General features: G+C 43.0%; 2 long non-coding RNA genes across 2 annotated transcripts in view, besides 6 other annotated features; one reads left to right on the forward strand and one right to left on the reverse strand.

Annotated features, from left to right (window-relative positions):
- Positions 730-979: an enhancer, noted in NCBI's record as "active region_5940". NCBI's record gives its function as "activates an Ori minimal core promoter by ATAC-STARR-seq in GM12878 lymphoblastoid cells {active_cell/tissue: GM12878}" and the evidence as "EXISTENCE:reporter gene assay evidence [ECO:0000049][PMID:35858748]".
- Positions 1,832-1,941: an enhancer, noted in NCBI's record as "active region_5941". NCBI's record gives its function as "activates an Ori minimal core promoter by ATAC-STARR-seq in GM12878 lymphoblastoid cells {active_cell/tissue: GM12878}" and the evidence as "EXISTENCE:reporter gene assay evidence [ECO:0000049][PMID:35858748]".
- Positions 3,059-3,118: a silencer, noted in NCBI's record as "silent region_4225". NCBI's record gives its function as "represses an Ori minimal core promoter by ATAC-STARR-seq in GM12878 lymphoblastoid cells {active_cell/tissue: GM12878}" and the evidence as "EXISTENCE:reporter gene assay evidence [ECO:0000049][PMID:35858748]".
- Positions 3,131-3,647: an enhancer, noted in NCBI's record as "NANOG-H3K27ac hESC enhancer chr12:9517085-9517601 (GRCh37/hg19 assembly coordinates)". NCBI's record gives its function as "activates a minimal SCP1, AML or CMV promoter by ChIP-STARR-seq in primed H9 embryonic stem cells {active_cell/tissue: H9 hESC(primed)}" and the evidence as "EXISTENCE:reporter gene assay evidence [ECO:0000049][PMID:30033119]".
- Positions 3,249-3,358: a silencer, noted in NCBI's record as "silent region_4226". NCBI's record gives its function as "represses an Ori minimal core promoter by ATAC-STARR-seq in GM12878 lymphoblastoid cells {active_cell/tissue: GM12878}" and the evidence as "EXISTENCE:reporter gene assay evidence [ECO:0000049][PMID:35858748]".
- LINC02367 (long intergenic non-protein coding RNA 2367) overlaps positions 6,106-25,406 on the forward strand; it is a 30,154-nt gene continuing 10,853 nt past the window's right edge. Inside the window, exons 1-2 of the long non-coding RNA NR_120479.1 lie at positions 6,106-8,238; positions 14,500-14,728. This is a non-coding gene — a long non-coding RNA (long intergenic non-protein coding RNA 2367). The remainder of the gene's footprint in view (positions 8,239-14,499; positions 14,729-25,406) is intronic.
- LOC101928030 (uncharacterized) lies at positions 10,424-20,064 on the reverse strand. Its single transcript, NR_120481.1, has 2 exons — positions 19,994-20,064; positions 10,424-10,674 (listed from the first exon to the last, which is right to left on the reverse strand). It is a non-coding gene; the product is annotated as an uncharacterized LOC101928030 (long non-coding RNA).
- Positions 17,365-17,867: an enhancer, noted in NCBI's record as "H3K27ac-H3K4me1 hESC enhancer chr12:9531319-9531821 (GRCh37/hg19 assembly coordinates)". NCBI's record gives its function as "activates a minimal SCP1, AML or CMV promoter by ChIP-STARR-seq in primed H9 embryonic stem cells {active_cell/tissue: H9 hESC(primed)}" and the evidence as "EXISTENCE:reporter gene assay evidence [ECO:0000049][PMID:30033119]".

Here is a 25,406-nt window from a genome sequence, read left to right on the forward strand (position 1 = left end):
TCTTCCTTTGTGCAACAAGTCAATAAACCCATTTTGGTTCAGCTACAGGTGAGTTCTTGGTGGTTTTTTAGCTTAGGAGGATTGGCAGAAATAGAGGTTCCCTGAGTCAGCTGAAGCCCTCCCCCTTGGACAAGAACCCCCGCCTCAGTTAGGGTGGACACAGCTGAGACATACAGGGTGTCTCCCTCTGTCTGAGGTGCCGGGTGGCCCACAGCTGGAAGGCAGCTCGGGCTGAATGGAGGCTGATATTTCCTTGAGGCCCCATGGAGGCTGATATTTCCTTGAGGCCCCTCCGCTTCAGGTGTGCTCTGTTCTGGGAATGAGGTGCTGTGCGACTTTTCCTGGTGATCTGATCAGATTTGCCCCGCTCCACGGTGAAACTGCTGTCTAGCCTTCTGAGAAATGCTCCTATGTCTATCTGGTGGTCGAATGTTCTAAGCGTTGTCTCTAAGTGGAAAATTCAGTAGTTGATAGGGGCCCGGGAAGTCTGTCCTCAAGCTGGTCTTGGAGGTCACAGTGCTCAGGAGTTCCCCTCAGACTAGCATTCATTGGAATGAGCTTTGCCCCAGGTCACTGTTTTCATACCTAAGGGTGGATTTTCCCCTCAACTTTGTCTCTGTGTGGTTCCTGAGAACTGCTCACTTTAAAGTTCCCTCTGCCTGGAATCAGGAGGATTGGGGACAATCAGCCTGTGGCCTCTGACCAAGCTCTGGAGGCACGAAGTCTCTTCTCGGACTGCTCGGGTGCCCGTGCGACCTTCTTCATCGGACGTGGCTCTTCCCCAGGCCAAACGCCTGCTGCTTTCAGATTTCCTCACTGTCGTGTGAACTCATCTTATGCCTCTGACACAATTTCTTGAGACACCATTTGAAACTGCAGTGGCCGCTCTGGGGAATTTTCACATGAATGAGGTTGTTCGTTTGAGAGGTTCTGTACAGCAAACATGGAAGGAGCCCCGTGAAGAGCTTCTCTTGTGGGACAGAGACATCGATGTGTTTAATGCAGGAGACACAGTCCCTTCCTCATTTGTTTCCATACTTCAGGGATTAATAAGTGCTGGGGTTTTGTTGTACAGATTGATAAAACTGTCGAAGGCCAAGCTGTTGTCCAAAACAGGATAATTTCACTAGCTTTGAGAGTATTTGTCAAAAATATGTTTTTCTAACTTTTCTTTTTTTTTGCAAAATAACCTAATTAGCCTGATAGTCATAATTTCATACTTACTGGAAGCCAGTTCCCTCTACTTTTTTATTTAAAACAAGCTTACATTTCTTGTTTTAATATTTATTTATGTATTTATTTATTTATTTATTTATTTGAGACAGGATATTATTCTGTCACCCAGACTGCAGTGTAGTGGCACAATCACAGCTCACCACAGCCTGGACTTCCCAGGCTCAGGTGATCCTTCCACCTCTGCCTTTTGAGTAGCTAGTACTACAGGTGCCCAACCACCACACCCAGCTAAGTTTTGTATTTTTTGTAGAGATGAGGTTTTGCTATGTTTCCCAGGCTGGTCTCAAATTGCTTGGGCTCAAGCAATCTGCCCACCTCAGCCTCCAAACTTAGAATTACAGACGTGAGCCACACCATCCAGCCTCTAATTTTTTGTTTCTATCCCTCCATTTTTCTTGGGTTAGACGACATTGACTCATTATTTTTCAGAAAAGAAAACAGAGGCTCAGAGAGGTTAAGTGACTTGCCCAAGTTCACACTGCTAACCTACAGCAGGGCCAGGACTCAACTCAGACCGTGAGATGCGGCCAGCGTTTGGAACAAAAGCGTATCTCATTGTGTTGCTTCCCTCAGCACCGAGGAGAAAGGAGAGAAACTTGGGGATCATCAGACCAGCCACGCCAGAGCTCATAGCAGTCTTACTCAGTCCCACAAGCCCACAGGACGTCAGCACAAGAACCTGTTCTTAAAACCATCCAATCTCACCTCTCGATTAACAGATGTGGAGACTCAGGCCCAGAGAGGAAAAGTGACTCATTCAAGGTCGCACAGATTAGTGGCAATGCCTAGACTTGAACTGAGATGAGCAGAGTCTGGTGCACTGCCACGTCCCACCCTCCTCCTCCACAGCAGGTGCAGGGAGGGTCCATTCTTCTGGTCACTGCAGCATAGTACAGTTTTCTGTGTCAGTGCCCTTCCTCTTAGAAAGAAACACCTCTGGGCTGGGGTAGCTAGCTCCCACTTTTAGCCATGTAAAATTTCTCTCTGGGCATTTTAGGTAGGAGTGTTGTCTATATTCTTAAGTGTCCGAGTCTACTTTGGCTACAGAGATGAATTAGGAAAAATTAGACTCTGCTTTGTATGTATGCAGAGTTCTCCGTGCACGATAAAGTGTAAATGAAAAGCAGCAAATGCTATTAGCAGGAGGGCAAGCCAAAACTGCTAGGCCCTTTTTAAATGTCCTCAAGTCATCCTCAAACCTACCCATGTAATTATCTTCTAAGTTCATTCTCAAAAATGAGATTCTACATTTCAGGGTTTATTTACAGCCAGATGATCATAATACTCCCCTGCTCAAAAAGCTTCGGTGACCCCTATTCCTTGAAATTAAAGTCACAGATTCCTATCTCATCATTCAAGGCCACCTGTGATCTGGTCAAAATCTATTTCTAGTAGTATTGCCCACTGTTTCCTTTCCAAGCACTCAACTCAGTCTACCTCCAGCTGATTAGATTTCCTAGAAATAACTACTCCTCCTTCTAAACCCCATGAACAAATGTTTTCTGAAAAGGTATTTGGAGGAAAGAGACTTTATTCCAGTGGACAAAACTGGGTGTTAGGTTTTGAAGGGAAGGCGAGGGTTAAAGAAAGACATACGTAAGAGGGTGGCTTAATAGCAAATGCAGGCTTTATGTCCAGCATAAAACCTACAGAAGTCAGGAACCAGCATAATGCCAGAGCCCACTGCTGCTTACAGGCTGGGGCAATTTATGGGCCAAAGGGGTCCGGGCAGTATGGCTTGCTGCCTGGCAGGATATTGATAAGATGTTCCCGTGATGAGATGGTTCTGGCCCTTGTTCCAGTGGGATTTCGTTGTGGTGTTCCTCGGATCTTTGTCCAGCATGATATGATAGAGATGTGTCTTTGGTTAGGCCTTTGTCTGCCTTGTGGTCAGGTGGTTAGGCAGGACGTTTCTCACACCCGAACCCCTGTTTCACTTTGACTAAGGTCTGCAAAATAGCAGGGAGAGCTTATGACATGGTGCAGTTTGGACTAACACTGAGAGACCAGAGTTCAGTGTAAAATGAATGTGCGTTCAGAGAACAGAGAGGAGTCGGGCTTTATAGCAAAATTTGCTGCCCAGGTTCCCCATCAGGTTCATTTGCATATGAACCCAGATTCATTTGCATTTGCTTTCCTCTGATGCAGCTGAGCCCTGATTAACCGAGCAGATGAGCTCTGATTGATTGGTTTCCAAGCCCTAAACTGGGAGTCTCTGTCAGACTGTGGCTGGCTGGTGGTGGGAGGGGCCCAGCAGCAGTTTGTCCTGGGAGCAACAGCAGGCGCTGGTTTGGCTTGATTGTGAAAAGAGGGGTCCTGTGATGCTCTTATATCTTTCTGAGAACACAGAGTATGTGATCGCTCCCACACCCGGCTGTAGCCACTGGGTTTCTGTTTTAAATATGAGTACCTCAGTGAGTCATAGGGAGTCCATTTGGTCTGTGGGCTGTGAACATACTTTAAACAATCCCAATCCTGTTCTCTCTTGACAAATCACTTTCTTTACCCAAATACAGATACTGGAGTACGTGTCTTTCCTCCCCTTAAGGACAGTACCTCTTGGGCTTACTTTAGTTAGCCCCACCTAGGAGAGAGCCTGGCACATGTTAGGTCTTAATAAACACTGAGCAAATGAATGACTGAGTTGTATGAGACATTTCATTTACCCTCCCCGGCTCCATGCCTGGGAGGAATGAGCTACCTCTGAAGATGGGTAACGTCTTGAGATTTTCACAAAAGAATATAAAGCTAGCAAGTCAAAGACAGTGTGATACTGCTTTAATTTTAGTTTAGTTTTTTTTTTTTTTTTTTCCTGAAACACAGCACATTAGGAGTTGAGATGATGGTATTGACTGTCCTTGTGGTTTGTGTGCAATTTTTAACCAGGATTCATGGCTGGGGAAACAAAAGCACTTCTTTGCTTGCATAACTTTTTTCCCTTCCTTTATTACTTCAAAGAGGCAAGATGTGGTTTGCATTCATTTCACTGCTAATATTGCTCTCAAAGATCGCTAAAGATCTCTTCTCCCCTTACACATTCCACTCATTTATAACCCAGATCCTCAGTGTGGCTAATGGAGGGTCCCTCAGCCCTGTAACTTCTGTGCATGAAGCAGTAGGTAGTGGGTCCAGTTATGTTAAACATTAGGTAATATCAGTATCTTTTAACCTTACTATGAGAATCTTAAAGATGGAAGCATTAGCCTCTGCTTATGATTGCTGCAGGCAAGAATCTGCACCAACCCTCCCAAGAGTATAAAGATCATCACCGTCACCGTCACCATTGTAAGGTCACAGCTCTTCACAGTTCACTTATCTTTTTCCTAGTTATTCTCCCTCCTAATCATTGCCAAAGTCTTGGGAGATAGGTGTGAATCCTTCTAGGACGCAGCTGAAAAAGTTAAATGTCTTGTCCTAGAGCACACAGCTCAGCAGCACCAAGAATGAAATGTTAAATCTGGTGTTTTTCCCTCTCTGCTGTAGTGAAGCTCTGCTAGAGATTTACCGAAGTCCTTGATATTTTAACCTAGCTATCAACTTCAGCCCAGAGAAGGTCTTCCAAAAGTAGATTCCAAAAGTATATTCATCCATCAACCATAACCTTAAATCTGAAGCCAGGAACTAAAAAGAAATTCTCAAGGTAACACAATTGTCATGAAGTCTCACTCCCAGGGCCAATTATAATCTGGATTTTTGTCTTCATCCTTCCAGGTGTCTCTGATCCCACTGTAAGCAAACCCTGAGTCCTAGGGCCTTTCTTCCACTTATTTCACTCTTTCTGTACACATTTTCCAGTACCTCCACCACTCACCACCCTCCAAAAAGAACTGATCCCTAAGCTTGTGCAGTGATTAACGATTTTCATGTCTTTTCTATTTGCCTGCAGTTATGCTACAAGATCTCTTGGCAAAGGACTAGCCAGGCATGCCTAATATATACATTCGTGTGATTTAACAAACTGGTTTCTACCACTTTCGGCCTGAAGTGACAGTGTTTTTTAACGTTGGTTGCAGGCAGGGGACTGTTGCCCCCTGCCAAGCACTTCAGCTTCCTTGCCCGGCCTCTCCTTGGCTTCTGTCTGTCCCCACCAGCAGCTCTTCATGGGACCCATCCTGACCCTCCAAGAAAGCAGAAAAGGAGGTTCCTGATGCAAAACCTAAAGAGCTTTCATCTGAGGAAGGTGAATCCTTTTTAAACTATGAGGCCTGGAGAGACGTTAAAATGAGAGCAATCACACCCTACTCCCCGCTTTGAGCTATGTATTCATCTCTTAAAACTGCTTGCTATTGCCACAAGTAGCTATGAATTAATTTTAATTTAGGATTATTATAGTGTCTCACCAGAAGCATAAACCACATCCTATAACTTAACAATAACCAATTGCTCATCAATTTTGTTTCTGTAATCCAAAGAGAGTTCCTGATCAACAACTTTGTACCAGCCCACTCTCTCGGTCCCAGTCTTTTGTTTTTAAAAACCTGCTTGGAACAAAGGCTCTAGGAAGCTCACAGCCAAGAGTACTTGGGTCTGAGTCTTCCAGGCAGCTGTCCTCACTTTGGCTCAAGTAAACTCTTTAAATTATGCTTTGCGTCTCAGCCTCTGCCTTTTGGGTCAACACTGAGGGGAGTAAATGAATGGCACCTGCTCCTTCTCTGTCTGAAGCTTGGACTTCTCCTGAGAGGACTTCCTGCTCCAAGATAGGAGGGAGTCTCACTCAGAAGAGGAAGGAGCTCCTGTCTGCTGAGGACACGGTTCCATCCAATGAGGTCAGCAGGGCTATCAGCAGCTTCCGTTAATTCCGTTGGGGCAGGCGTGTGGCAAGCAGCAGTTATTTGAGCTGAGGATGCTGGGATGGATTTTCACATGAGCAGTTGGCCCTTAGATCATGAGACCAGCCTAAGTGCCCAAGGAAATGGAACAGCAGGGAGGGGGAGGGACATCACACCCACTATCAAAACTTCTTGTTAGTCTCTGGCTTCCACATCCTTCCCCAAAACTTCAGCCCAATTCACAGCCGCATTTTTCCATCTCTTTGCCATTCCTCCATGGGAGAGCTTTCTGTTGGTACAGGAATAGCTGAGAAGTGGGAAAGATCAAGGGTAGTAAGAGCTGCCCCCGATAATCTACAGAAAGCTTTGCTGGAATGAGGTTGTGCATCTCTGAACCTGAGCTAGATTTGTTGGGTCAGGGACCATACTTATTTACTGGCCCAAGAATTAGAAGAGGAGGTGTCTAAGAAATGCTTGTTGAATGAATAAATAAACAGCCGAGTGAGTGTTTATATGAGCCTGAAAACTGCCTGCACCAGCACAAAAGTAAAGCCCCAACACCCTCAGGTCACACCTACTGGAAAAATATATGTCAGCCCCAGAAAAATGTGGGCAACATGAGGCAACTCCGGAGCAACACAGGAAACTGCCCTCCTCTTCTGGCCCCTCTTCCACTGTGATGCTCAAAGTCTGTGATGACCAAGTCTGGTCATCTAATCAGCAGGATATAAGAGGGTCATTCTTCACTGCGGCCATTCCAGTTTCCTGGAAACTTGGCTTTCTCCTGACCGTTTCCCCAGGAGCACGGTGGTGACAAGCTTGAGCTCTGACATCAGAAAGTCCCCAGTTTGAAACCTCTAGCTTCTTACTCGCTAGCTATGAGACTTTGGGCAAATTAATCTCTAAACCTCAATTTCTCAATCTGTAAAATGTTCAAGGTCAAGCAACTCACTTTTCCACATTGTAATTGATGAAACTAAAATTCAGACTCAGATCTGCCTCACTCCACAGTCTGTGCTTTTTCCTTCCCACTCATCTTTTTCTCTTTCTATTAAAAATTTCATAACACATTTGAGATTCTGTCTCAACTCATATCACTGAAATCATCTGTCACGTCTGATGATCATATAGAAGCCAGACTAAGATTCAGCCACAAATGTTATGCCTAAACATTTCTTATTATTTCTTTTTAATGTTTCTCATGTATACAATCAAACTCGCACCCTAGTATTATTGGCAGGCTAATATATGCCCATGAGACATGTAGCTTAAATCTCTATGGGATAGGATAAGTATTCTCCCTTTGTTTGTGATTTGAAAGCTTTCCATGGATGCTAAAGCGATTTGTTAAAATACCTTCACCTGTAAGTGTTTTTCCTCTCTTAAAAGCCTAATTCATCTCTGAGTTTGTTTACTAAAATAATCTAATTTGCTCATTTTCTCTAGCCATTCCAAGCTAAATCCCAGGAAGTACTAAAGAAGCAATGCACAGACACAGTATCATACAATTTGAGACACAGTATTATAAAATTGATGTGAACTTCTAGGCACAGTGTGCTCACAGTCTGTCTGGAAATAACTTTGTAGCAAGCATAGTTCCAGTCTAGCTGCCTGGCAGCCTGGCAGGATATTATTATTACTGATACTAATTTACTTTTTAATGTAAGTCTACCCAGAATATATTAAAGAAGTTTCAAGAAATCAGGATCATGGATTATAACCTGACGTAGTGCTAAGGAACCATCAGTTCCATGTAAGCATTTGGTTAGCAAGTCTTTTTCAAAGGCCATGCTTGAGAAACAGTTTTGCTCTCCCAAACAATGTGTTGTAGTTTTTTTTAGCATACTACTGTGCAGATAAATAAATGAGATATTAATGCCATTGCAAGTTCTGGCTTTGTGTAGAGTTTTCTAGTGAAGCCTGTTTAGGATCCTGGATTTGTCCAAGCTGTTCTGATTATCCCATCATTTTTAACATGGATAATCTACAATCTTTCATCTATTACATAAATTGAATTCTGGCACAAGTTCAACTGCTCTTCATTGAAACTGAGAAAAATTTTAGGATCACTTTGCTGGAATCCAAAGAAGATGTTAAATACTACCAAAAAAAAAAAAAGGCTGAAAACTGGTTTCCAAGAATCTCTGGGGCATCCTTAAGAACTCCCCTTGCATGTTCATTAGACGGCCCTTTACCCAATGTATCTCTAATAGTCTGCTGAAAATACTCAAAGGCAAGTAATTTTCATGTAATCAACTAAACAAAATGTTTAACAAATATGGCAAATATTAATATTTTTAACTGTTTATGTAAAGTGCAAGAGAGTTATTGATTAGGAGAGTAGCTCTGAAGCCGAACAGCCTAGGTCTAAATCCCGGTTCTTTCATCAACAAGCTCCATTACTGTTGATAAGTTATTTGAATTATCGGTGTCTTAGTATCTTTCCTTATAGAGGTGATGATTGCTCCTACCTAATAGCACTGTAGCAATCATATATGCAGAGCTTATCACACTAATTGACATTCAAAAATATTAGCTCTTAAAAAATTATTATTAGAAATTTGAGAAAAAGAATCACACTAAAAAAGGATAAAAGGCATTGAAAATAATTCCCCCAAAAGAAAATAAAAATTTCTCAAATCATATAGGACTTATTTTGTAACATTAAGAAGATTCCAATTAATTCAAATTAAATGGATGATGCCTTATCTTCACAATGACATTCCAATAGCTTGTTTTCTTATTTTAATGAAAATATGTAATGATGGTGAAGATTCAGTGAGACAGGCACTTCCATACTAGCTGCTGGAATTCTACGTTGACACAACATATTTGGTGAGCAATATGGCAATCAGAAGACTAAAAGAATGTTGCATATTTTGTCTTGGTAATTCCTCTTCTGGAAATCTTTCTTAAGTGAACAATTCCTAATTCAAAAGCTACTTACTATATAGTTATACACAAAGACATATGCTACAAAATTATTAATTACTAGGAAAACAAAATGAAATAATCTATATGTTATATAATAAAAGCATAACTAAATAAATTTCGTGTAGTCACATAAAGATATGTTTATGCAGCAGAAAATTGGAATTTATGAAAAGATTGGCATAATATAGAGACAAGTTTTCTTAGTTATCATGAACAGAAAAATATGATGGCAGTCATGAAAAATATTCATTAAAAATTAGAGGAAAATAAATATGTCTATCTATCTAGCTAGCTAGCTAATTTTGAGATTCTGTTTTATAACTGAAGTTTAGACTCTGTGACCCTCCCCTAAAAGTCTGTTCATCTCTTTTTTAGTTAAGACTGTTGACTGTTTTCCACAACAACCAGTAGACATCAGTGACCATTAACCACTTTTCTCATGCATTCTATTTTCCTTATTTCCAGAATACATTCCCTTAAGCTAAATACAACTTCTCCCTCTACATCTGTTTTCCATGAGCATATCTGGATTTACTGGTATATCTATCACTTCCATGTCCTTTTCAGGATTGGTGAACCATGTCATCCATTCCTGCTCCAGGCAGAAGCTTGTTCTCAGTCCTTGGTTTTGAGCTTGTGTATCTGTCTCTCTCTTTAATTTTTATTTTAGGTTCAGGGGCACAAGTGCATGTAGGTTAGATGGGTAAACTCATGTCACATGGGTTTGTTGTACATATTATTTTGTCTTCCAGGCACTAAACCTACTACCCAATAGTTATTCTTCCTGGTCCTCTCTATCCTTCGACCTTCTACTCTCAAGTGGGCCTCAATGTCTGTTATTCCCCTTATTGTCTCCGTGTGTTCTCATTATTTAGCTCCCACTTATAAATGTGAACATTCGGTATTTGGCTTTCTTTTCCTTTGTAAGTTTGCTAAGGATAATGGCCTCCAGCTCTATCCATGTCCCTGCAAAGGACATGATCTAGTTCTTTTATGTGACTGCAGAGTAGTCCATGGTGCACATGTACCACATTTTTTTTTAAATCCAGTCTGCCGTGGATGGACATTTAGGTTGATTCCATGTCTTTGCTATTGTGAATGGTGCTGCAATGAACATGTGTGTATGTATTTCTTTATGGTAGAACAATAAATCACAATGTTAATGGCTGTTGGTAGAATTAATTTTACGTAATTTCTAATCTTTTTCTTTATATTTTTCAAATATTCTACAATGAGAATACATTGCTTCTCTAATAATATTAATGCAAGCATATAAATAATTTAAGTTCCCTGGTTAATCTCACTTATTATCTCTAAGCTTTGTGTCTCCTTGTGAAGGCAAATCTCCTGAATAAATGCTTACTTAGCACGCGCATCCACTTGGAATCCATCATCTGAAATAGTTACTGTTCATGGTGCATTGACTTTAACTTCAAACTTGGGCAACACTGGAAACAAAGAGAAATATACTTCAGCCCCCACAATCACTGGTGAGCAAAATTTATTGCAATCATGTAGCTTAAGGTGCTTCCCAGCACCAGCTTTCCCTGTATGTCCATCTGGATAGATCATGTTCTGTTGCCCCAGATTCCATGTGGCACCAGTCTACATGATGGTGTCTCACTAGTCATTAACTCTTCCTTTTTCTTTTCTCTGTCCTCAGAATTTCAAGTTTTTTCCTTTGTAATCTCTTAGATCTCTCCTGGCAGATTGGGCTCTAGAAAATGTATATTTCCTAGGGGAAAAAAAACGACAGAAATTAGAATAACGATACTGGGGGAGGAGTGAGGAGGAGGAAAATGCTGATGATGAAGCTGACCAGGCCAAGGAAGGGAGATGAGAAAAACCAGATCAAGCTTCACCTACTCCTGCCTACGTCTAACACCAAAGGTGTTTTGTTCCATGCTTTGAATCCTTTATCTACACAGGACAACTACAAATAGCAATTGGTTACCCTACCCTTGATAGTAAATTGGTGTGTCAGTGTCTTTCCTGATTTTCTTTTCACGACAATTGAGTAACCTCCAAACACTGTTTCTGAAATCAGTGGGAATGAGAGGAATCATACAGTATGGACTGTTTTGTGACTGGCTTCCTTGTTTCCACATTATGTCTGTGAAATTCATCCCTCTTGTGGCAGACAGGAGGAGCTCACTGCCTTTCACTGTCTTGTAATCTTCCATGGCCGGAGCACCCCACACTGTATCCATTCTATTCCTTCCACTTTTTGATGATGATGAATGAACATTCATCATCTCTGAATGTGTTTGTATATGACTTTTGGTGAACATAAATGCTCATTTCAGTTTGGTAGATACCTAAGAAATTGAATTGCTAGGTCATGGTTTTTTCTTACATGTAGCTTTAGCAGATACAGAAAGTTTCTTATAGTTGTGGTTCAAGTTACACGCCCACCAAGTGCAGACAAAAGCACTAGTAGCTCCACACTCTTGCCAACACGTGGTATTGTTAGTTCTTTTCATTCTAGTGCATCTGGGGAATGCAGTGCTATATAACCTGCATTTTCTTTCCTTTTTTTCTTTCTTTTTTTTTTTTTTGTTGTTGTTGTTGTTGAGACGTGGTTTTACTCTGTTGCTAAGGCTGGAGTACAATGGTGTGATCATAGCTCGCTGCAGCCTCCACCTCATGGGCTCAAGGAATTGTCCCTCCTTAGCTTCTGGAGTAGCTGGGACCACAGGCATGCACACCATGGTCAGCTTAATTTGTATTTTCTTGATAGTTAATGAAGTTGAACAGGTTTTCATATACTTATTGGCTGTGTGAATGGCCTCTTTTGTGAAATACTTATTTGACCCATTTATAAAGATTTTTATTGTCATTTGTTATTAATCTGTGGGGTTTCTTTTTCTTTTCTTTTTTTTTTTTTTGAGACGGAATCTCACTCTGTAGCCCAGGCTGGAGTGCAGTGGCTCAATCTTGGCTCGCTGCAAGCTCCGCCTCCCGGGTTCGCGCCATTCTCCTGCCTAAGCCTCCCGAGTAGCTGGGACTACAGGCACCCGCCACCACGCCTGGCTAATTTTTTGTATTTTTAGTAGACGGGGTTTCACCGTGTTAGCCAGGATGGTGTCGATCTCCTGACCTCCTGATCTGCCCACCTCGGCCTCCCAAAGTGCTGGGATTACAGGCGTGAGCACAAGAAATTCCCACAAGAAATCTGTGGGATTTCTTGATATATTCTAGATAAGATTTGCTTTGAAAGACATATATTGTAATAATCTTCTGCTCTGTGGCATGTCTTTTCACTCACATAAAGGTATTTTTTGATGAACCATATATTTTTTATTTTAATAAAGTTCAATTAATCTACTTTTACTATATTTTATTTTTAACAACCTTGTCAATATATTATTTATTATTTTTGTTTATTTACTTATTTTTATAGTTAGTGGTTTTTTATGTGTGTCTTGTATAAAAAATATTTGCCTATCCCTTTGTTATAAAGATAAACTTATTTAAAAAAAAAAAATCTAGACCTTTTTTTTCTTCAATACACCATGCTTAACACAGATTGACTTTTTTTACCCTTCATGTTTTGGTCTAGGATCCATCTCAGATTTATTTACATCAGGACTGAGGTGGAGAGTCACGGTTTCTATTTTTCTATATGGATGTGTGGCTAACCCAGGGCCATTTATTGAAAGACCACCCTCTCCCCACTTAACTGTGCTGTCTCCCGTGTCATCTATCAGGTGTTACCGCATTTTTCACTTCCGTGCACTCTTGTTTGCGCCATTGGTCCTAGAATATATTTTTGTGCCAGCACTTCAGCATCTTAGTTATTGTAGCTTTAAAAGAAGTGTTGCTGTCTGGCAGTTCAGTCCTCCAGCTTTGTTCTGTTTAAGGGCTGCATTGGCTGTTCTTGATTCTTTGATTTTCCATATATACTGCAGAATCATCTTCAATGTATACCAAAAAAAAAAAATGCTGGGATTTTGATTGGCATTCCACTGAATCTGTACATCAAATTAGAGAGATTTGGCATCTGGAAATATTGAGTCTTCCAATACATGAACATGATATAATCCTCCATTAATTAGGTATTTCTTTAATTTTTTTCTTAGCAATGTTTTGTGTTTCATATTTTTCAGTGTAAAGGTCTTGCCTGCCTTAGTTTTATGCCTAGGTATTTTTTGGTTTTGGTAAATGCTCCTTTCAAAAGTGTATTTTCCAATTGTTTACTGCCAGTATATGGAATGCAATTGATTTAGGGGGGTTATTTATTTTAATTGTGATATGATATATATAATATAAAATTGACCATTTAAACCATTTTTAATTGTAGAGTACAGTGGCATTAAGAATACTCACGTTGTTGTGCAACAGTTCAATTGATTTTTAATATCAGCTTTGTTGAGCTATGGTCGACATATGTTAAAATTTGCTAGCTTTAGGTGTGCAGCTCAGTGAGTTCTGATAAATGCATGCAGCCACGTGGTCATCACAGTGAAGACATGGACCATTTCCAGCATCCTTCAGAGTTCCCGTGTGCCCTTTAAGGCTCCTCCCCAGCAGCCTGCCTCCTGGCCTTCAGTATCCATAGACCTGCTTTCTCGCATTGTCATTTTGCCTTTTCTAGAATTTCAGGTAAAAGAATCCTACAGTAGGTATCTTTTGTGTCTGGCTGCTTTCACTTAGTGTAAAGCTCTTGAGAGGTATCCGTGTTAGATGTGTATCGGTAAGTTGCCCTGTTTTATTACTGAATATATTCCGCTCTATGGATGTACCACAGTTTGTTTATCCATTTATCAGCTGAAGGCCACTTGGGCTGCTCTCGGTTTGTGGGGAGCAGAGGGAAGCTGCTGGAACATTCTTGTACAGATTGTTGTGTGGAAATCTGCTTTTATTTGTCCTGGATAAACACTTAAGGGGAAGGATCGCTGGGTCTTATGTTTGACTTTATAAGGAACTGCTGAACTGTTTTCCACAGCAGCTGTGCCATCTTGTATGTCCGTCAGCACCGTGTGAGAGTTCCCCTGCTCTGCAGGCTTGCCAACGCAGATGTGTCTTTTGATTTCACCTGTTCTAGTGTGGATACCGTTGTGGTTTCAAGTTGCATTTCCCTAATGAATAATGATGTTCTGAATCTTTTCAGGCACTTTTTTTTTTTTTTTTTTTTTTTTTTTGCCATTTTGTATACTTCTCTGGTGAAGTGCCTGGTCAAGCCTTTTACCCATTTAAAAAATCAAACTGTTTTCTTATTGATTTATAAGATAGAAGCTAGGCATAGTTGCATCTGCCTGTAGTCTTAACTACTTGGAAGCCCAAAGCAGGATGATCACTTGAGCCCACGTGTCTGAGGTCAGCCTGGGCGACATGGTGAGACCCTGTCACTAAAAATAAACAGAAAGTAAAGATACATATATATCTCACTGTGCTAGGCTGAATGATGGCCTCCCAAAGATGTTCGCAACCTAATCTGTAAAAACTGTGAGTTTCTTACCTTACCTGGCAAAAGGGACTTTGCAGATGTGATTCAACTAAGGATGTTGAGATGGGGAGATTCTCCTGGGTTACCTGGCTGGGTCTGATGTAATCACAGGAGTCCTCATTAGAGGGAAGCAGAAAGACCAAAGTCAGAGACGGAGATGTGGCCGTAGAAGCAGAGGTCCATGTGCTGCGGGGCCATGAGCCAAGGAACCCACGCCGCCTCTGGGAACTGGGAAAGGCAAGGGAGCAACGTCTCCCTGGAGCTCCAGAGTGAGCCAGCCCTGATGACACCGTGACTTCAGCCCTCGGAGACTGACTGTGGACATCGGACCTCTGTCACTGTAAGATCCTAAGTTTATGTTCTTTTTTGGGAATATGCACTCTCTCTTCAGTGGAGGACTTGAAGCTGGCTCTTCTGATTCTAAGTCCATGTTGATTTTTTCCTACCATTGTTCGGGGTAGAAGGGAGCAGGTATCTCAGGTGGTGGGAACAGTGCGAGAAAGCCCCCAGGTCAACATGCACGCTGCCGCGCAGGGAGCAGGCTCCTCTCAGATTAAGCAGCGTGTGCTGGGACTGCGGGAGGTGAGGTCCATTGGGTGGATCCACTAGGCTTTGGAAGCAGAGAGTTTGGGCTGGAGATGGTGAGAAACCACATAGTGGTTGGAGCATTTTGGGGTTTGTCAGAAGGGTCAGGGCTGCTGGCTGGGGTAGGAGCAGGTGCTGGGGAGACAGCACTGGCCTGCCCACCTCACTGGGCTCTGACAGGAGGCATGCCAGGCGTGCTGTTCATTATTATTTCAGAACAGTGCTGCTTAACTCCACGGACCAAGCTGCTTCTGTGAATGAGGGGTAGGGAATCCCAGAGGCCAAGGCCGCCTCATCTCTCAGGGACCTTCTGGCTCATTAGATGGCCTCGTCCCTCAATCTTCTCCAAACGTGCTGGCTTCCCTGAGGATGCTCTGAGCTGGTGCCATTAACCTGGGCAGCACTTCTCTCCGGTCCACACGCACTTCACTCTATTATCCTGCACCCTGAAAAGGCATGGATTTTGTTGAACGGGGCCTTGTGCATCAGAAGCCAAGTGCACCTCTGTCTGGGAGCTGGAATGTATGCAGTGGTCATCTTTGCTGCTTCTGCCCTGGTGCCACACTCTGAAGAGTGAGAACATGGGCAGGGTGGTCGATGGCTTCACACCTCTGTCTCCCCACCAGGATCTCTGGCTGAGACTCAGGGTCCGAGGACCCAGGGTGCCTCCAGACCACAGACCAATGAATTTTCTGTTCTCTTTTCAACTTCTTCCCAGCCTAGGGCAGTTCAAAGCCAGCTTCTTTCAGGAAGCCTGCCCTGATAGTGCCACCCAACTACAAACACTTATTTTCTGTGCTGCATATTTTCAGTGCTAAGTGATTGTGCATTCAACCTTTCAGTACACATGGTCTCCTGTGGTTCTCTAGTCCTTCTGGAGAAGCAAGTGTGAGACGGATGCCTCGTCTGGTGAGGTTACAGACTTTCTGAGGATGGGGAGCAATCTTTCTTCATTTGTATCATGTCTCACCAAATAGATAAACCATTGGAGGACAGGTACTGTTTGACATGAAAATAAGGTTTATGGTGCCCTCCTGATCATTGTTCAGTAAACTCTTCAGGGAAAGGAGTGGAGAGATCATTAGTTCATTGGAAAAGGTATTTCTTGCCTAGAGGGGTGGATTCCTAAATTTAGGGCTAAATGTGTCATGCAGCTCTAAATTTCTACACCATGAGAAGGTAGTCCCTTTTGCTTCTTTTATGTACAATCCATGCATTTGTTCCACAGACATCTGATGTTTACTGAATGCCCTGTGCAACAGAGATTGAGGATTCAAAGGTGAACAACAGATGATCTTTCTCTGCAGGGGGCTGTCTCTATGCACATCACTCACAAATATCCATCTACGGTCCCTCACAAATATCCATCTACAGTCCCAAGCTCCTTCCCCTAATCCACGTCCTGTGTTAGGTGTTGGGCAAACTTTCCAGGTGTCAAGATGCAGACAATTAGACCTGCAGCCCCCAGAGGAGCTGAGATAATGCTACTCCTTTCGAGGAGGGGCACATGACATCACCTGACCTGTTGAAGCAGTGGACAGAGTGGGGTTTGGGGGATCCTAACCAGAGTAGCTAGCCCTCCCCACCTGCGTGTCTTGTATCTGTAGGCTCTGCATCCATAGATTCAACCATGTTTGGTAAAACTATTCAAAAAACATTGCATATGTGCTGAACATGTACAAGCTTTTCTTTTTATCATAATTCCCTAAACAACTATTGACATAGTATTTACATTGAATTAGGTATCACAAGTAATCTAGAGCTTATTGAAAGTGCATGCAGGGTGTGCATAGGTTGTCTGCAAATGCCGCACCATTTTATATCAGGGGCTTGAGCACCTGCGCTGTTGGTATCTTTAAGGGAGGATCCTGAAACCAATCCCCAATAATTACTAAGGAACGACGGTATTTGGGTTTTGACAGAAAGCTGAGAAACCCAGAATGTTAGAAATAACCTCCTAACAGTAGGAAGCTGAGTTAAAATCAGGAAAAGCCAGCGGTTAAATTCAGTCTTTTTACACACAAGAGCAAGCCACATGTTCTACAGCAATGGAGGAAAAACTCAGTGATTACCCAATGAAGTGAATAAAAGCTGCAGTGATAGTTACAACAACACGACAACAGGTGACATTGAGAAGGAAGATCTCATTTAGGGTTTGTTGGAGGGAGCCACAGCCACTAAGGATGCAGCCTCCTTTGGAAGCACTGACCTGGCCCCTGCGCCCATGGACGTGGGAATAGTGTGGGAGCTGGCAGAGTCTCAGCAACCTCTCAATCTAGTTTGTCTCCTTAGACAACATCCATCTCCCCCATTCTCCATCAGCTCCTTTTCCAGCTTCCCCTTCCTGCCCTTGTTTTTGTAAGGCCGGGAGGGAGGTGTCTGGGCTTACGACAATGTCTCACATTGCCCCAGGAGAGGGCAGCAGACATTCTCCCATCCCAGGTGCCTCCTCTGCACTGTCCAGGATTCCAGTGAATTTTCGAGGGTTATTGAAAATTACCTGGTTCATGGGAGCCAGGCTCTGTGCTAGGCACTGGGAATGCAAAGCCAACTGAGATATGGGGCTCTGCTCTGCAGGAGCTGGTGGTCTAAAAGGGTGAGGCAGCCGTGGAAACAGATACAGGGCCAAACAGTGAGGTCAAACGCTGGGGCAGAAGGCTCTTCAGGGGACTGTGGGATCCCCGGAAAGTGGGGAGAGGAGGGGTCTCAGAAAACACCCAGCAGGAAGAGGTGCTTGAGCTGAGTCTTGGAAGCCGGCAGGTTTTCCTGGTTCCTAGGCCAGGCAGGGCACACCAGGCAGGGCACCCCAGGCAGGGGAGCTGGGCTGAGTGTGACACCACAGGGCGAGCTGGGGCTTGAACACAGGGTGCTGAGGGCAGGAGGGGTCTCAGGGAGGGGACGATCATGGAGGGCTGTCCTGCATGCCCATGCTAAGGAGTCTGGACCAGGGCCTGGAAGGATCCGATAAGCCCCCAAAGGGTTTCATTAGGAGAACAACCAGAGCAGACCTGCACTTTAAAATGACAGCTCCCTGTTCTGCCTGTGGAGGACAGACGTGGCAGGATGGAGAAGGGCAGGCCTGAGGGCCGCTGGCCCAGTCAGCTGGGCTTGAACTAGGTGGAGGGAGCGAGGGCAGTTGTCTGAACTAAGGCAGGAGCAGTGGGAAGGGCAGTGAGGTGAACATGAGGTTGAAATGACAGGTTCTGGTCTTTGGCTAGATGGGGCCGGATGAGGGCAGAAGTCTCCCAGGTTTCTGGCTTCAGTGGCTGGTGTAAGTGTTGGTGGAGCTGAACACAAGGGTGGAGGAGCGATCTCGGGAGAAAGATTATGAGTCATTGACAAATATGGGGCGTCTCCCCAGACCCCACTATTTCATTTCCCACTGCACCCTCTTATCTAGATCCTTGGTATTTTTCACTGGTTTTGAGACAGTGCCTTCCTGTTGGGTCTTGTAAGGTCCAGTCTCTCTTCTTGTTGGAAGAGCCTGTGTATTCTTTCACTGCATGTTTATGAATAGCCTTCCCGGGCCAGGCACTGTGATGAGTTCCTTCTCCCATACAGCTCATGGCCTGGTACAGGGGGAGAAGGTGAAGGAAGAGATAGATGGTGAGGCTGATGGTTGTAGTCCAATATGCAGTGTGGTCTCATAAGTGAAGAACAGGCTGCAAGGAGAACATTCCAGGACAGGCCTGCGATCTGGACTTCAGTGTTGAGGTGGTTTCCTAAAGAAATTGTCTGGGCTCAGCTGGATGTGCAAGGGCTCCTGAGTGACAGGCTGTGGAGAGGGGCTTCTCTGGGGCTGGAAGGAGCCAGTGCAGTGCCCGACCCTGTGGCATAGAACGTGAGAAGTGGGCAGCCTCTGCTTGAGAGGATGCCGAGGGTGGTCAGCAAGGATAACTAACGGTGGCAGGGCCTGACGGGGTCAGCTTGCACCAAGTTGGGTGGAGAACGAGTAGCTCCAGGCCTCCCACAGTGGACAGATCCTCAGGCCTGGAGGGGTGTCCTTCTGAAGGAGCATTCCCAGTCTCTGACGAATGAGGCCTGGGTCTCTGGCTGGAGTTGGAGTGGGTCTGTGTCTGGAGGGGGCACTTGGGCTCTGGAAAGAGGCTACAAACTCTAGACTAGGCTGGGCAAACTATGGCCAGCTCCTGTTTTATCAGAATGCACCTTTATATTCTCCTTCATGTATGTATTGTCCATGGTTGCTTTAGTGAGTTGAGTGGTTGCAACAGAGATCACATGGCCTGCAAAGCTTCAAACATTTCCTAACTGGCTTTTTATGGAAAAGGTTTCCCAAGCCCTGCTCTAAACTGGCAGGCAACTTTCTCAGAGATAGTTCAGGCCTAGTCTCCATGTGTGGACAAGATGAGCCCATACCGTGAAGCTGGATCTCCCAAAACGCACATCTGTCTCAGGTCTTATAAAGCTGTGAATCATTAAGTGTGTGAACATACATGTGGTCATGTGTGAATATGCATGTGGTCACCTGAGCACACATATGGTCGTATATTAACATGCATGTGGTCACATGTGAATGTGCATATGGTGGCATGTAAGATGCACATGGTCATGTGAACATGCATATGGCTGTGTGAATATACATATGGTCCTGTGAACATACATATAGTTGTGTGTGAACATGCACGTGGTTATGTGTGAACATGCATATGGTTGTGGGAACATAGATATGGTCATGTGAGAACATGCATGTGGTTTGTTTGACGCATGTGGTCATGTGATGTGAGCTTGAGGTGCACCGTCAGGCTGGGATGGGCCTTCCCAGGGTGGACTCAGCCCCTTGCTGCAAGAGACCACTTCCTGAATCCTGGTCCTAAGCCTGTGAGCCTTTGCTCGGCACCAAGAAGCAACTCTGTTGATACCGACTGAGATTCAGATGCCTGAACCTGACCTTCTACACACGTGGCCCTAGTGGATCATTCCAGCCTCAGTTTCCATGTCTCCCCAAATGCCTGCTAAATGTGTCAGCCAAACCTGACTACTTCCCATTCTGCACACATACCTTCTCCACCTTGGTGGCCGAATCCTTTGGAGCCCACCTCTCACATTCAGCTCCCGGTTCTTGGTTATTTGGGCTCCTGTCTCGTGTGCTCTATCAGGTTCTAGGCTTTGCAGGAGTGAGTTCTGTCTCCACTCGTTTCTATGTGCCTCGTAGGACTGGCTCTTGGGAGGGTCTTCATGGTGACTGAGGCCATGGATCCTTAGCCCTGTAGCTTGAATTCACTTGGCACTCAAACACTCATCCTGAAATGATGCTCTGAAAGTGATGCTTCCAGTCAGTTAAGGATCCACTGTATTATGGATCTCCAGCACCCAATGCCTGGCACATAAGAAATGAATGAAAAGTAGTGAATGATCTCAAGTATGTCTACAAGGCGAGAGGAAAGTGATCCTATTCACCAGACATGCTAGGGAGGCATTTGGCGCTGTTGGCTCTGCTGTTGCACAATAGGCCTGGGACTCTGAAGGCTGGCACTTCCTCATCCTAAACCTCAAATTTTAATGAATTACCTCCAAGTGGGCAAAGGTCCATGGGCCAGGGTTCTTGGTGTAAATAACCCACCTCTTTTGGGTGTGGTTAATGGACAGGGACTATACAAAACTAAAAACAATGTTTGAATGCTGACTTCCTGTCAGCCATGGTGATGAAGCACTCTGTATACATGACCTTATTCAATGCTCACTACAAACCCATGAAGCAGATTTTTAGAAAAACTTTCCATTTGGAGCATTTTAAACAAGAGGATAGTGTAATGAGCTTTCACCTCCTTATCAGCAGATTTAAATATTTGTTAACTCATGGCCCATCTTGTTTCCTGTATACTCCCACCCACTTATCCCCCTCTCTTGTTGTTTTAAAGCAAATCCCGGACATTATGTAATTTCATCTGTGAATATCTTAGTATGTATCTGTAAAAGAAAGGGACTAATTTTTTGTTGTTTTTGAAACAGGGTCTCTGTTGCCCAGGCTGGAGTGCTGTGGTGTGATCATGGTTCACTACAGCCTCAACCTCCTGGGCTCAAGAAATCCTCCCACCTTAGCCTCCTGAATAGTTGGGATTGCAGATGCACATCACCAGGCCCAGATAATTTTTTTATTTCTATTTTTGTAGAGATAGGGCCTTTCTATGTTGCCTGGGCTAGTCTAGAACTCTTGATCTCAAGTGATCTTCCTGCCCTGGCCTCCCAATGTGCTGGGATTATAGGCATGAGACACCATACCCAGTGATAAGAACTTATTATTTATTTATTTATTTTTGAGACAGAGTCTTGCTCTGTCATCCATGCTGGAATGCAGTGGCGGAATCTCAGTTCACTGCAACGTCCGCCTCCTGGGTTCAAGTGATTCTCCTGCTTCAGCTGCACGAGTAGCTGGGATTACAGGTATGTGCCACCACATCTGGCTAATTTTTTTGTATTTTTTTTTTTTTTAGTAGAAATGGGGTTTTGCCATGTTGGCTAGGCTGGTCATGAACTCCTGGCCTCGAATGAGCCTCCCGCCTTAGCATCCCAAAGTGCTGGGATTACAGGCATGAGCCACCGTGCCCAGCCAAGAACTCTTTTAAAAAAAAAACAAAATTGCAATACCATTATCATACCAACCATCGCACACTACTATTCTTTAATACTACCAACTACCCTACTGTCTCCAAATTTCCAGTAATTTCATTTTTTTGTTAGTTTGTTTGAATCAAAATCCAAATAAAGTCTCTCCTTATGATTGTTTGATTTGCCTGTTAGTATTTCTGGATCTATAGGTTTCTCCTTTCATCAATTGTTTCTCCTTTGCAATTTATTTATTGAAGAAACAAGACTGTTTCCCTGTATTTCAGATCTTGCTAAATGTATCCTCATTATGGCGTTTCTCATAGTTTGGATTTTGCTAATTGTATCCTTGTGGTGTTTAACTTGGTCTTCACTTTGTTCTCTCTATTTACTATAAATTAGTGGTACGATCTAAAAACTTGGTCAGAGGCAGGTTGGATTTGTGGGGCAGGGTAAAAATACTTTGCTAGGTTCTTCCATCAGGAGGTGTGTACTGTCCGGCATATATATATATATATATATATATATATATATATATATATATATATATATATATATTTTTTTTTTTTTTTTTTTTTTTTTTTTTTTTTTGGTGATGTTGCCAGCCACTGATTGATTATGGATTGAACAATGGTGGTATTGTGATATCATTCCTGCTCATTTTTGTGCTGTCATACTTCTATAAAGAGATACTGCTACCCTGAGAACAGCCTTGTAGAAGAAAAAAATAAAATGAAAAAGTAAATATAAAAAGAGATACTTCTCTTTATAAATTATTGTGTTACTCAGTTGTACAATTTATATAGAAAAGGCCAGGTAGTTGCTTTATTTATTTGTTTAGATAGGGTCTCTCTCACTCTGTCACCCACGTTGGTGTGCAGTGACGCAATCACAGCTAACCACACCCTCAACCTTCCTGGCTCAAGGGGTCCTCCCACCTTTGCCTCCCAAGTAGCTGGGACCACAGACACACAGCATCAGGCATGGCTCATTTTAAAAATGTTTTTTAGAGACGGGGGTCTCCCTATGTTGCCCAGGCTGGTCTCGAACTCCTATGCTCAAGTGATCTTTCTGTCTCTGCTTTCCAAAGTGCTGAGATTACAGTCCTGAGCCACCCTGCCTGGCTCACTCTTATTTTTAATAAAGAATCATTATGAATGCAGAGATTTAAACATATTTGATGTAGTTTAGTCCATTGCAATTATTATACTTATTGATATACAAAATGTTCTATCTTTGGTCAGAAGGAGTTCCTTCAGATTGGCTCTTGAAGCATATTGATATCATCCTAATGATCTTTGATAGATTCCTTGCTATCTAGAGTGACAATATGTTCCAGTCTTGTCTTAAGCATTTCTAGCCCAGACCTGGAATCATCAATTTCTCTAAGAAGCCTTGGTTTCCTTTAGTGGGTAAGGGTATTTGAGGACCACAATCTTGGTGCTAAGGGTCGATGTTACAGTTTTAAAAGTTTTTTTTTTAATTGACAGCTTTAATTGAGGTAGAATTTACCTACTAAAATTCACCCCTTTTAAGTGTACAATTCAGTGATTTTTAATATATTTAGTCTATTTACAGAATTGTGCAACCATCACTAAAATCTACTTTTGAAACATTCCATCATCCCAGAAAGAAAAGTTGTGCCTATCAGAGTCACTCTTCATTCTCATCCCCAGTCCTAGGCAACCACTAATCTATATCAGGCAATTCTGGACATTTCATATAAATTGAATCAGTCAGTGTGTGTTATTCTGCATCTGGCTTCTTTCACAAAGCATTGTGTTGTTGAGGTTAATCAATGTGGTAGCGTGCATCAGAATTTTCCTTTTATTGCCGAATAGTATTCCGTTATATACCACACTTTTTTTTTTTTAAATCTCTTCACCGGATGATGGGCATTTGTGTTGTCTCTGCCTTTTGGTTCTTGTGAATGGTGCTGCCATGAACATTCACATACAAGTCAGTGTGTGGGCATAGACTTTCATTTTCCCTGGACAGGTACACAGAAGTGAAGTTGCTGGGTTTAAGGCAATTCATCTAACATTTTGAGAAACTGTCATACTGTTTTCCCAAAAAATAGCTGCACTATTTTACATTCCCACCAGCAATCTATGTGGGTTTTGATTTTTCCACATCCTCTCCAGCACTTGATATTATTTTTCTGATTGGTTATAGTCCTTCTAGCAGGTGTGAAGTGACTTCTCATTGTGAATTGAATTGCATTTTCTTAGCAATTAATGACATTGAGCAGTTTTTAATGTGCTTTTTGGACTTTAATACATCTTTTTTGGATGGTTCTTTGCCCATTTTAAATAGGATTCTCTCTCTCTTTTTTCTTGGAGACAGAGTCTCTCTCTGTCACTCAGGATAGAATGCAATGGCACGATCTCAGCTCACTGCAACCTCCGCCTCCTGGGTTCAAGCGATTCTCATGCCTCAGCCACCCAAGTAGCTGGGATTACAGGCATGCACCACCACACCTGGCTAATTTTTTGTATTTTTAGTAGAGATGGGGTGTCGCCATGTTGGCCAGGCTGGTCTCGAACTCCTGTCCTCAAGTGATCTGCCCACCTTGGCCTCCCGAAGTGCTGGGATTACAGGCATGAGCCACCACGCCTGGCCTGGATTATGTTTTAATACTGAGTTGTAAGAGTTCTGGATATGTCACTTACTAGAGATATGATTTATAAATATTTTCTCCCATTCTGTGGGTTGGGAGAAACCTTTCTTGTGTCTTTTGATGTGCCAGGGTTTTAAATTTGGCTGATGTCCAATTTGCCATTTTTTCCTTTTCTCACTTGTGGTTTTGGTGTTGTATCTAAGGCATCAATTGCCTAACACAAGATCACAAAGATTTACTTCTATGTTTTCTTCTAAGAGTTTTATAGTTTTAGTCCTTGCATTTAGGTATATGACTCATTTTAAGTTAATTTTTGTGTGTGGTGGTAGTTAGGGACTCAATGTTTTTGCACATGGATATCCCGTTGTCCCACCACCATTTGTTGAAACAACTATTCCTGGCTGGGTGTAGTGGCTCACACCCGTAATCCCAGTATTTCGGAAGCTGAGGTAGGAGGATCACTTGAGTCCAGGAGTTTGAGACCAGCCTGGGCTACATAGTGAGATACTCATCTCTTAAAAACCAAAAAATAAAGGAAGAAAAAGAAAAGACTATTTCTTTCCAAATGATTTTTCTTGGTACCTTTGTCAAATCAATTGATTGTAAATGTAAGGGTTTATTTCTGGGCTATCAATTTTTTAAATTAGTTAATTAATTTTTTGGAGGCAGTGTCTTACTATGTTGCCCAGACTGGTTTTGAACTCCTGAGCTCAAGTCATCCTCCCCTCTCAGCCTCCCAAGTAGCTGGGACTACAGGTGTGTGCCACCATGCCCAGCTAATTTTTAGTTTTATTTTTGTAGACATAGGGTCTTGTTATGTTGCCCAGGCTGATCTCAACTCCTGGCTCCAAGGGATTCTCCCTCATTGGCCCCCCAAAGTATTGGGATATGAGGTGTTAGCCACCATCCTTGGCTTTTTATTTACTTATTTTTTTTCTTTACTCACACGATCTCTCTCTCTGTTGCCTGACCTGGAGTGTGGTAGCCAATCATAGCTCACTGAAGGCTAAAATTCCTAGGCTCAGGTGATCCTACCATCTCAACTTCCTGAGTAGCTAGGATTACAGGTGTGCACCGCCATGCCTGGCTAATGAAAAGCAAAATTTTTAAATTGATTTTGGTACATTGATACAAAAAAATGTTTTGTATGTAGACACAGGTCTCACTGTGTTGCCTAGGCTAGTCTTGAGCTCCAGGCCTCAAGGGATCCCCTTGTCTCGGTCTCCCAAAGTGCTGAGATTACAGGTGA

The sequence above is a fragment of the Homo sapiens genome, chromosome 12, assembly GCF_000001405.40.
Source record: "Homo sapiens chromosome 12, GRCh38.p14 Primary Assembly".
Taxonomy (NCBI): Eukaryota; Metazoa; Chordata; class Mammalia; order Primates; family Hominidae; genus Homo; species Homo sapiens.